The sequence below is a fragment of the Homo sapiens genome, chromosome 1 (genome assembly GCF_000001405.40).
Source record: "Homo sapiens chromosome 1, GRCh38.p14 Primary Assembly".
Taxonomy (NCBI): Eukaryota; Metazoa; Chordata; class Mammalia; order Primates; family Hominidae; genus Homo; species Homo sapiens.
In genome coordinates, this window is record NC_000001.11 from 173596133 (window position 1) to 173608143 (window position 12011).

Sequence of the window (12011 nt, forward strand, 5' to 3'; positions counted from 1 at the left end):
AGTAATATTTCATTGAAAGATGTTCCACGATTTGTTTATTCATTCACCAATGGAAGAATGTTTGTTTCCAGACATTTGAGATTATAAATAAAGCTGCTATACAGATTCATATAAAGGTTTTGTAAACATAAGTTTTCATGTCTCTTGGGTAAATACACAGGAGTGAGATTGGTGAGTCATGTGGCAAGTATATATTTAACTTTATAAGAAACTCCCAAACTGTTTCCCAAAGTGGTTGTACCATTTTGCATTCTCACCAACAATGTATGCAAGTTTCATTGTCTTCATATCTTCACCAGCACTTGGCATTAACAGGTTTGTTGTTGCTATTCCAATAGGTACACAGTGGTATCTCATTGTGGTTTTAGTGTGTATTTCTCTAATGACTTAGGATGTTGAGCGTCTTTCCAAGTGCTTTTATTCCATCCATATATCTTCCTTGGTGTCCCAAATCTGTTCAAATCTTTTCTCTTCTAAATCTATTTTTAATTACAATAAATACTAATGGACTAAACTAGTTTTTAAAAAGAAGCAGAAATTATCAACCTGTATAAAATAAAAAAAATCCAACTGTATACTATTAAAAAGATACCAAAATGTTGAAAACAAAAGGATGGAAAAATTATAGCAGGCAAATACCAAAATAAAGCTGATGTAACTATAGTCAATTTTACACATAAAATTGATTTAAGGCAAAAAGCATTATTTGGGATAAAAGGTAACTAAATAATAAGAAAAAAATTAACTGAGAAAAATAGCAATACTTGTAGACACTTAATAACAACCTCTATTTGTATAAAGTAAAAACTGACATAATTGCAAGGAGAAATTCATAAATCCACAGTGATAGTGGAAACTTGTTAAACTGAACTGAAAAATAATATTGGGAAAAACATAGAAGATTGAACTTCATAATAAAACAATCTACTGAACAAATTTAGACCCCTACACTCAATAATTAGAGAACATATATTTTTATAGCACAACATTTAAAAAAAAACATGTACAAGCCTACAAAGCAAATCTTCACAAATCAAAGAATTGACATATAAAACATGTTCTCTGATCACAGTGTGATAAGAGAAATAATAATAAAACATCATATTTGGAAAATTCAAAACAATTTGTAAATAACTAATGGGTCAAAAAGTATAAGAAAATGTAGAACTGGATGGTGATGAGTACACTAAAAACCAAAACATGTGGGATACCACTAAAAAGAAAATTTAAAACCTTAAATGCACACAGAAAACTAAAAAAAGCTAAAAATGAATCAAATATTAATTCAAGATGTTAGAAAGAACAGAATAAAACCAAAATAAAATGTTCTCTGAAAAAAGAAATAAAACAGTACAACAGGCATGATTAAGAAAAAAACATAGAAGGCACAAGTAACAATCTTTGCAGGGAAAATGGGCAAATCTACAGAAACAGTTGAGATTAAGTCAGATGTGGGACTAGAATCCAGATTCTGACATTTATTATCCTTGTTTGTGACCTCTAAGCTTCAGTTTGCTCATATGCAAAATGGAAATGTTATTTACTCTGATATTTGCACTGAGAATGCCTAGTCACAATGGTCACTCAGCAAATACTAATTCCTTTCCTCTCCCTTCAATTCTTTTTAGTTAGTAGTTCTATAGAATGAAGAGGGCAAAACAAATAAAATATGACATTTTGTGAATTATTAATCATCTATATAGGCAGCCATATTCTCTATCAACGTGCATAAGCAAGAATTGATCGTACTTTGTTTTAAATGTGTTCTTACCTGCCAAAACATTTTCTTGAGTGTATAAAATTCTACATCCAAAGCAACCATAAATATAATTAAAGGTGAAAAGTAAGAATAAAGTGAAAAACTTGATGTTCTTAGAAGAGGGTAGACAATTTGGTGCACCTAAAGTAACAAAGGCAAACAAGAAATTAGTTTGCTACCATTTCCAAGTATTAGAAACTAGGTTGATGCTGTCAATCAATATAAATTTTAGAATCTTTCAGTTTACAGCTAACGAGAGAGTATCTACAAGGGCAGTCCTAAGGGTCCTGTGGTAGATTTCTTGATCTAGCCATCCAGATAGGTTACCTATATAGACCTCTATTCACCAGATAATTGAGTGGTTTTGGGCTACACAAACACTGCTTGTGGTGTGCAATCAGTATTTTCAAAAGTGATATCCCTACTATTGGTGATATCAGAAAATATTTTTGGTGATTCACAGGTAAGTATTTTTTAATTTGACTGTTAGATGTTTATTTCAATTTGCTTTAGATGAGGGAAAGAATCTTAAACAGGTACTTGTTTCACAAACATTGGCTTAGGATTTTTAAATCTTTAAGTGAGTCAGTAGAGAAAAATAATTCATAGAAAATAGTAGATTGTATACATAAGACATAAATCATGAAGGTTGTACACAGATTAATGGAAAATACAACAATAATGATTGAAGTGCTATAAATATTCCCTCCTAAAAAGTTTATTTTGTCCCAATCAATAGTTTAACTTTCATTACTTCACCTCCCTATACCTCAGTTTGCTCATCTGTAAAATGGAAATAGAGTATCTGCTTTCAATGGGTTGCTGTGAGAGTGAATAAATTAACTCAAGGGTTAATAAGCTAATAAATTAATAAATACAAAGCACTTAAAAGAGAGCCTGGCACTTAGTAAACACTCTAAAGATGTCAGCTAGTAGTAGTGATGGTATTTCAGAAGATTAGGAAGAAGCGTTTACAATCCTAGATGGGTACAAGCATTATCTCCATTTTTCAAAAATAAAGGAATGAGTGGAGGCAAATTGTTATTGATCACACTGCTATGCAGTTGAAATCAGAAGTTAATACTAGGTTAATGAATGAATGAATGTTTTCTTGTATCTATGGTATATATTATATGAAGCTATGAAGTGTGTTTTACATTGAATCTGGCAGTGACCATGCCTCATGATGAACACAACTGCTGCCTTTTATAAGCAGGTCTTTTATAAGCAGGCCCTTTTTTTTTTGAGACGGAGTCTCGCTCTGTCACCCAGGCTGGAGTGCAGTGGCGAGATCTCAGCTCACTGCAAGCTCCGCTTCCCGGGTTCACGCCATTCTCCTGCCTCAGCCTATAAGCAGGCCTTTTATAAGGCAACAGCAAGGAGGAAGCCAGTGTATGTGCAGGGGAAGGAAGCCAGAGCAAGGCTCCAGAAGCAGATGATGAACCCAAGAGCGCAAACACATTTTCCTTGATTTTTTTTTTTTTTTTTTTTTTTTTTTTTTGAGACGGAGTCTTGCTCTGTCGCCCAGGCCGGAGTGCAGTGGCGCAATCTCGGCTCACTGCAAGCTCCGTCTCCTGGGTTCACGCCATTCTCCCGCCTCAGCCTCCTGAGTAGCTGGGACTACAGGCGCCCGCCACAACACCTGGCTAATTTTTTGTATTTTTTAGTAGAGAAAGAGTTTCACCGTGTTAGCCAGGATGGTCTTTCCTTGCTTTCTTTCCTTCTTTTTTTTTTGACAGTCTTGCTCTGATGCCCAGGCTGGAGTGTGGCGGTGTGATGTCGGCTCACTGCAACCTCCATCTCCTCCGTTCAAGAGATTCTCATGCCTCAGCCTCCTAAGTCACTAGGATTACAGGCATGGGCCACCCCTCCTAGCTAATTTTTGTATTTTTAGTAGAGATGGGATTTTGCCATGTTGGCCAGGCTGGTCTCAAACTCCTGGCCTCAAGTGATCCACCCACCTCAGCCTCGCAAAGTGCTGGGATAACAACCGTCAGCCACCGCACCTGGCCACATTTTCCTCTTATTACTGCTTTTTTGAAGTTTCCCTAATTGATGTGTCCTTTACTGTGTGGTTATTTTCCAAATTTTTTAATACCAGATAAAATTTTTTGAGTAGCTGTTCCCATAAGAAAAAACATTCCATGCATTCAGGGATGAGATGGGAGTGGACTTTATTTTTGGCATTTTTTCCTTTATTCTCTAATTTATTGTACATACAGTACCTCAACAGAATTGTAGGCCATGTGTCCTATCACGAATCCTGATAGAGAAAGAATCGTCAAAACAATGACTTCACAATTCTTTAAACACATCTTCAAAAGCCCTAAATGTGAAAAACAGAATAGTTGCATGAGTACTCGAAGTACAGTTTCTACCAAATGTGTATCACTTTTGCACCATCCCAAAGTAAGTCAAGACCTTCTGTATTCAATTAATATTTAATGATGTGGCTTAACTTTGGGATGGTGCAAAAGTGATACACATTTGGTAGAAACTGTACTTTGAGTACTCGTACAACTATTCTGTTTTTCACGTTTAGTACAATATTTACAAAATTACATGAGATAGTCAACACTTTATTATAAAATAGACTTTGTGTTAGATGATTTTCCCTGACTGTAGGCAAATGTGTTATGAAAGCTTTTAAGGTAGGCTAGGCTCAGTTATGATGTTCAGTAGGTTAGTTGTATTAAATGCATTTCAACTTACAATATTTTAAATTTATGATGGGTTTATTAGGACACAACCTGATAGTCAAGGAGCATCTGTACTTCTTACAGGTAAGACCAGATAAAGATATGTTTTTTACACTCTTTCTGCAATGCTCTTTACTACTGGAGCGTTTGTCTCTATAAAGGATATAGAGCTAGTCCATGGTCATCAGCAACTTGTGATATCAAAAGTGACCAAGGTCATTAGTGAGTATATTAAAGATTCCCAAAGAAAGCAATTTCACTCTTTGATACAATGGGTAAAATTGAAGGAGTTTATACATATTTGCTTCTGTATAGTATTCCTAGTTCCAGAAAGGATTTTAAAGCAGCTATTTTTCCTTTTTCCTAATCCCTAGTGTTGAATTGTGGACTAAAGCATCTGTGTGTTGAATATGTTACTTGATCTGCATGAATATCATTCTCTATACCTGTTGAATTCTTAATCATTGTTTAAGAGGTCCTTATTTGTGAAGCCTTTCCTAATTTCCTTCTTGGGGTTGGGGTGGGTTATTTATCTTCCCTGAAGAGAGATTACACCAAAAGCCATAATAAAATGGACAAAATGAATGACATCAATTATGTAAATCATGAATTGTATGCCTGGGCTCTATTTGTGTGTTTGCTCGCATTGTCCTCCCCTCATCTCAGATATTTTGGTCAGGTTAGGTCTGGCCAGGCAGGCAGTGTACAGCTCTTCCTCCTCCTTGTGAGCAGAGAATCTTGACGACAACTTTATAGTTATACTTAACACACTGCATAGTAATTATGTGTTTGCCAATCTCTCCCATGAGAGGGCTTCTTGAAGTTAAGTTATTCTTCTTACATGTCTACCACACTACCATGCTCAGCAAATGTCACTGAATACAGGAATATAGAATAGACACTACTTATAATTAAATGAAGCGAGATTGACAGTATTCACTCATGTCTTATCGTTTCAATGGGCCCCTTCTTTTGATGTTATGTAGTTGTGATGGCTTTCTGCATTGACAAAAGGTTCACAGGGCAGAGGAAAGATGAGTTTCAAAAACAACCACCTACCTCCCAAAACAACAATGAAGCATACAAGCGTTGTGAAATGTTTCTCTTCAACAAGGTAGTCAGCTGGCTGCCCGCAGAGTAAATCAGGTCTGTTACTTTCATTTTGTGCCCAGAAGTAAGAACTCATTTTTGCTGCTGCTTTTCCCCAGACCTAACTTGATGGAGTGGTTTGGTTATTATTGACACTTTCACTTCTGCATGCTAACCTGTATAGCATGCAAAAAGAACATGAGACCTACCAAGATCCAATTCATCCATACCATTTCTACCTAAGATTGTGCCACACTCAGATCTGAACATGTCTCTTCTTGTCACAGGGCACACATTAATACCTCTTGTCCTACCCCTTGCTCCAAGAACATTTTATAGGAACACTAACAGCAGTGTTAGTGTTTACTCCCTGTACTGTTACATGTATATGGGAGAGGGGGTGCATTGATAGGTGCACTTACCATTGTAATGATATAGTAATGTGCTTGCTTTCCCCATTGGACAGTGAGTTTCTCAAAGGCCAGGGCCCGAACTTTCCTTAAGGCTGTGCACATAGCATGTGGCACGAGATAGGCTGTCCAAAAATATTTGATGGGCTGAACTATTTGAGGGGGAAGGAGCATGGATAAATGTTATGCTCCCCCTTCTCTGTTGGTATAAATCATTCTGGAATTCCATTTTACCACTCCAGCCCTAATATATCTTTTTCTTCTCTCAGCACCCTTCCAATAAAAGATGGCAAATGGGAAACAAAGTCAAAGTTGAGTCACACCAGTTAAGGTTGGGGGTGAGGATAAGGGTGAATAACCTGAAAATAAAGGAAAAGACCAAGGTTTGATCATATGATGCCTTTGAGTGAATTAGAAAAAGGCCCCCTTCCTCAGAGCAATGAAGCCTGTCAACAAGGCACATGGCTTGGCATGTGACTACCAGGCTGGATTTCAGCCCCAGTATCTCACCTCAGCTGGTGCTCTGTGTAGGATGTAACCTGTGCAAATCTATGCAGTGGTCCTGAGAAAGATTTGTTCTGTTTTATTTTTCCTTGCAGCTAGCCTTAATCTAAAAATCCTAGAGGTTCCTCAAGTATCTCCAATAATATTTAAGGCTTACCTTTGGTCCTTTGTTTTGCAGGTCTACAGGTCACAATGATTCTGGTGTGAAGCAGAGGATGGGCCAGAAAGAGATTCAAAATGCTACATCTTCAAATCACTTCACCTGTCCCTCCAGTAGCCCTTCAGGTCCTTGGCATCTTCAACTCCTGCTATCCTCACATGTAATGACCCTCAAATTAAGTTCTACAAATTACCCAGATCAGAGATATGTTCCTTAAAGATTAAGCTGCTTTAAAGTTGAAATTGAGATGAAGGCTCTCAAAATCCCAAAGAACAATGCACAGTTATGCGTCTGTTTGCCAGGGACAGTACTACCAACTGATATCACACCAAAATCCATTTCCATGCCTACTTCTCATTGGTTTCTTGCCAGCCTGCTTTCGTTCTGATTGGCTGCCTACATTATCCCCACCCCCAATCCAGAAGAAGCCAAGTGATCTAGTTCTTGGGAAGCTTTCATTTTTTAACACTCAAGTTACGTAAGTACCCACAACTGTTTTAACTGATTTTTTTTTTTTTTGCTGACATTGTAGAATGAATTCATGAATTTTACAAGTATAATCAAAGACAACCAAAAATTTTTACTTTTCCCTTCAAAAGCTAAGTGTAGTGTAGCTCCCCTGTAGTCTAAGTTAGAGAAGAATACTAACAGCGTGTTTTTCCTTCTGTGCTCAGCAAGCCTTATCTGTACTTGCTAGTTTCACATTCCTTGAGGCTCAGGGAGTTCCTGTTTCACCTCCCTAGCGCAGCTGCAAAGTTACAAGGTTAATACAGAAACATGGTTTCCCAGGGATGTGGAACACGTAGCATAGATAAATGTAAAAGACTGATCAACTGCCTTTGTTCTCGCTCTTGTAAGTACGCTTCCTGCATCACGTAGCTCCTGGCCACTGACTGCTTAAAAGGTGGCTGCTTTCTTTGTCCAGGGCTCAGACTTTCCTGGACGCTAGTCCTACTGAGCCAGGTGATCACCTTTTAATAAAGACCTTTCCTGAACTCACTCTGTTCGGTCTCTCCCATCTTTGATTGTCCCAAAACAACATAATAGCTGAAATAGTCAAAGATATTAATGTAGACAGAATCTCCTTCTATATTTTTGATATATACTCTATATTTCTTATGCCAACACCATCTGGCTCAGCCCTAACCCTCTTCAACACAGTCTTGTCTCCTCTCTAATTCTTTTTCAGTCATACTGTTTCATTTTATTTTTCTACCTCTCCTTCCTTTTCAATGTTTCTCACTCCCATTTTCCTAACTCCTATCCATCATTGGTTTCCAGTCCTCAATTTGAAGAAACAATGTTACCCATTCTTCATGGGAGGACAAATGCATCCCAAATTCCATGATGCCTAACTTATATACTTCTTGCCTCAAATATAATTACTAAAAACAAATACAGTATAAATATTAAACAAATGAACAATAATCATCAATTGGTGGGTTACTTTCAAGGAAGAGTTGTTTTGTGACAAATTCTACTCTCTCATTCCTATACCACATTCACCAAGGTTGCTGCACATCATCTTCTTGAGGGCACCAAGGAGAACATCACAGCAGTAAGATTACACCTTCACTATGTATCAAGAAACCTCTGGCAAGTGAGTCTCAATTCCTACTTCAGACTAAACACAATTCTAATCAACAGCTCTATGACTGTGACAAGCAACATTGGTGCCCACATACTAGCTCCTAAAATATTCTTTATGACTTCCTTTTTTGTACAAACTGATGTGGTTCTTTTAAGCCACTGAGCTCATCCCTACTATAATGCCAAGGACTATGTTAAAAAGTAATTGGCTTATTCACAGGCCCTCTCCTAAGAGACCCATTCCTTACTCTTCCCTCTTCTGCCTTTACTTAACTCACCTCATTACCAAGTTCACTACCCTCCCGTTCGGATCTTCACCTTATCTATACTGGCTGTCACCTTGATTCCTCTCAAAATTAAGTTTGACTCTCTCCTTAGTCAAACTGATCTCAGCACTACTCAGTTTGAGTAATGCCCTTCCAGGTTCTGCCTAGTTCCCATCCTACTGCTGTCCCCTCAGGCTCACTCGGTTCACCTAAGCCCTGCAGCTAAGACTCCTGTAGGTTGAATTTAAGTTTCGAAGTTCAGATTCCCCATGGCCTTTAGAAAAATCCTCATACTTCAGGAAAAGTTGGAGAAAATCCATAAAGTCAGTTAGCTTACACATAGTTCTGAAAGCTAAAGAAAGCAATAACTAAAATATAGAGGTGATCAAATTTTTTATCCTTTCCCATGGAGCTTTTTTTTTAAAAAAAAGCAATAATAAAGTTATATTTCACCATTTTTTATAAATCCAGCTGAAGGAGATTCTGGTCAGTTTGGGGAGTTGAGCGCTGAGAGGCTGCCCAGTGTTTTCTCCCAACTCCATCTTCTGAAAAGAGACAATACTATTTAATTGAGATAGACACAAAACACAGGGGGGTTAGTCAGTTTCCCATCCTCCTAACATTATAATTGGTTCAGGAGTGGGCATGGACTCAGACAACACCAATTAGATGGCTCCCTAGGTTGGTATATTCCATTATTGGGAGACAGCTGTTCTCTCTCCACTTAGGTTTAGTTGTGATGAAGACCCCTCAGAGCAGCTGGAGGCCACCTTCCCAGCTGCATGGAGAAAGCCCACCTAAAGTCTGAAAGGTTCTATGAGGCACCACCTTAGATATTTCTGAATTCTTAACAAATGACTTTATAATTCCACCATGGATTTTATCTTTTTCCCAGAAACCATTCCTTAGGTGGAGAACTTTTTGCCATCTAGAAAGGATAGGATTGAAAAGCAATTTTATTTTCAAAGCCAGTGAGCACTGGCTCTTTTCATATCTTCTAAATCCTAAAATTTATTTGAAAGCTGAAATGCTCCTTCTCAGTTTCTCTCTCTCCTCTCATTTAGTAGAAGCCATACTCAGTCTGGAAATATCCTTAGCAGGGTCATCGAATTCATTCCTTAGACAAAATGTGGCCAAACTTACCCACCAACTCCTAACAAGGGTTTCTCCAGCTTCCAATAACATCTTCCTCTCTTTACTATAAACTCACCAATAGCCTCCTAGAAGGCCCTAGCGCTTCTGCTAATATTGTACTTGAAAGCCTGTAGCTTTCACCCACACCCTCCTCCAGGCCTTTCTGTCCTCTACCATCTAGTCCCAAAGACAATGCCATGTATTTTAGGTTTTGTTATGTCAATTTCTCACTTCCAAGTTATACAATTTGTGAATTATATATTGTTAAGTAACAAATACATAACTGAGTAGCTTAAAACAATAACAATCATTTATTTCGTTCACAAATCTGCAATTTTTTGCATGGCTCAGCACAGAAGGCTTGTCTCCACTCCACACAGCATCAGCTGGGCTGGCTTGACTGGAGGATCTGCTTCTAAGATGGCCCACTCATATGGCTGGCAAGTTGGGGATGACTGCAGGCTGGAGCTCAACCAAGGCTGTGGGCTGGGGCCTCAGTTCCTCCCTGTGGATCTCTCTATAGGCTGGTCAAGAGTGAGCATCTCAAGAGAAAGCATTTCCCCTAGTTAGGCAGAGGCCTCATCACCTTTTATGATCTAGCCTCAGAAATCACATGGAATCACTTCCACTGTAGTGACGAGCCTGCCCAGATTCAAGAGGAAAGAACAGAGACACATCTCTCTACGTGAGGAATGTCATGACCATATTGTAAGAAGAGCATGTGGGAAGGGAGATGTGGCCATCCTGGAAAATACAATCTACCACATATTAGATTGAACATGGGGGCAAGTGTCAGTCCTTTACAATCTGGGGGCATCATGTTAATCTAAATAGCAATCTACTTAGTCCAGAGCAGTAGTTCTCAAAGGCTGGACCACAGGCCAGTTCTGATTCATGACAAAAGTTCCATCATATATGACAAAATAAGAAAAATAAATACAACATAAAGGTCTATAATAAAACTTAATTTATTTAACTTAAAGGGTAGAGCCCTACACTGAGATCTCTTCCCTTTTCTGGTGTTAAAATGTCTTTTGTTAAATGATAGTGATAGTAGATAGTAGTTGTTTTATTAATGATGTCCTATCAATCTCCTCCCCTTTTTTTACATTTTTTCTGTTCAATTAAATACAGAAGTCTAAAGAACTACTGCCTAAAAGTTATCATAACATTGAATTTAGCCTTTGATTGACTACTTCCCAAATAATGTGGAGGCTTCATTGATTTATTAGTATGCACTTTGAATAGTAATTACTTTGTGGATGTTCAGAAAAAGCCATGCAGCTACCTATGTAACAGCTCAAACTCAAAGCCTACGGGCATTTAAAGTTGCCTATGAATAGATCTATAATTCAATGTAACAATATGTAACAAGAGATACTATAACTCTCAAAATGGACTAAAATTGTAAATCTATAGATATAAATAAATGTTCAGATTCTCACATCAAAGGAATCTTTGACATGAGATCCAGGAATCTGTTGTAATCACTTGGTTCACATGCCAGAAAGTAAAATGACATTCAATGTGAAGGCTTAGAAAATAGAAGGTCAGAGGAGAAATTAGGCGTAGAGATGTTGGATGTATGTGTGGCTTATCTGCTAGAGGAGTAGGAGTTAAAATGGGGCAAGATATGGAGATAAGTGTTGGGAGTCATTTTTATAAAGGTGCACAAGCTCTATAAATTAATGAAGAGGTAATGAGTTCTATGTATAAGGTATTACTAAAAGATAATTCATTCAGTTATTTACTAACTTACTGTTTTATGGACTTTTTAGGTATAAAAAAAGAACAAAACAAAATCCCTACCCTCAAAAAGCTTACAATTCACACAGAAGGACAAACCTGTGAACAATTAAGTAGAATACAGTATGAGGCTATTAGCACTATGGGTGCCCTAAAGAGGGAAAGACTCATTCTTCATAATACTGGTGACAGGGAAGGTCATGGAATAGAGAATTACAGATTGCTTTACCAAAGGTTAGGATTGAATTTTGAGAAATTCTCACAACTGGGGGCAAGAGGAAGAAGAGGAACTGGTGAAGGAGTTAGAAAAGCAGTTTTAAGAGAGTAGAGGAATCATAATTGACATAAAAGTACCAACACAAGGAGTTTAAAAATAGCATCAGCAAATATATCAAAAGCTATAAAAAGTTTGAGGATAAGGATTGAAAGATTAATAAAGAGGGAAAATAGGTTTATTTTATACTAAGGGGTCTCCAGAAATGCCTTGGTCTAATTTAGAAATCTTTGAAGTAAGAATCCAGGAATCCCTCCCTAATCTGGAACACACTCCTGGAAAATAATGTTGTATTCAAAATCCAAGCTCAGAAAATGTAGCGTTAGAGTAGAAAGGACAAAAATGGCACCTGGACTTTTCCTAAATTATTGCAGTCCTTA

General features: G+C 37.6%; 1 protein-coding gene across 13 annotated transcripts in view; it reads right to left on the reverse strand.

Moving 5' to 3' along the window:
• The window catches only part of SLC9C2 (solute carrier family 9 member C2 (putative)), a 102613-nt gene extending 95673 nt beyond the window's left edge, over positions 1 to 6940 (reverse strand). For 2 of the 13 annotated variants that reach the window (NM_178527.4, XM_011509426.3), the window contains exons 1-4: positions 6619 to 6940; positions 5518 to 5723; positions 3985 to 4085; positions 1772 to 1900 (exon numbers count right to left, since the gene is read on the reverse strand). In NM_178527.4, coding sequence (NP_848622.2) covers positions 1772 to 1900; positions 3985 to 4085; positions 5518 to 5644 — 357 coding nt within the window. In that variant the 5' untranslated portion in view covers positions 5645 to 5723; positions 6619 to 6940. The remainder of the gene's footprint in view (positions 1 to 1771; positions 1901 to 3984; positions 4086 to 5517; positions 5724 to 6618) is intronic. The other 11 variants (XM_047418169.1, XM_017001073.2, XM_017001072.3 and 8 more) reach the window with 8 other exon arrangements.
• Between the last annotated feature and the right edge of the window lie 5071 nt (positions 6941 to 12011).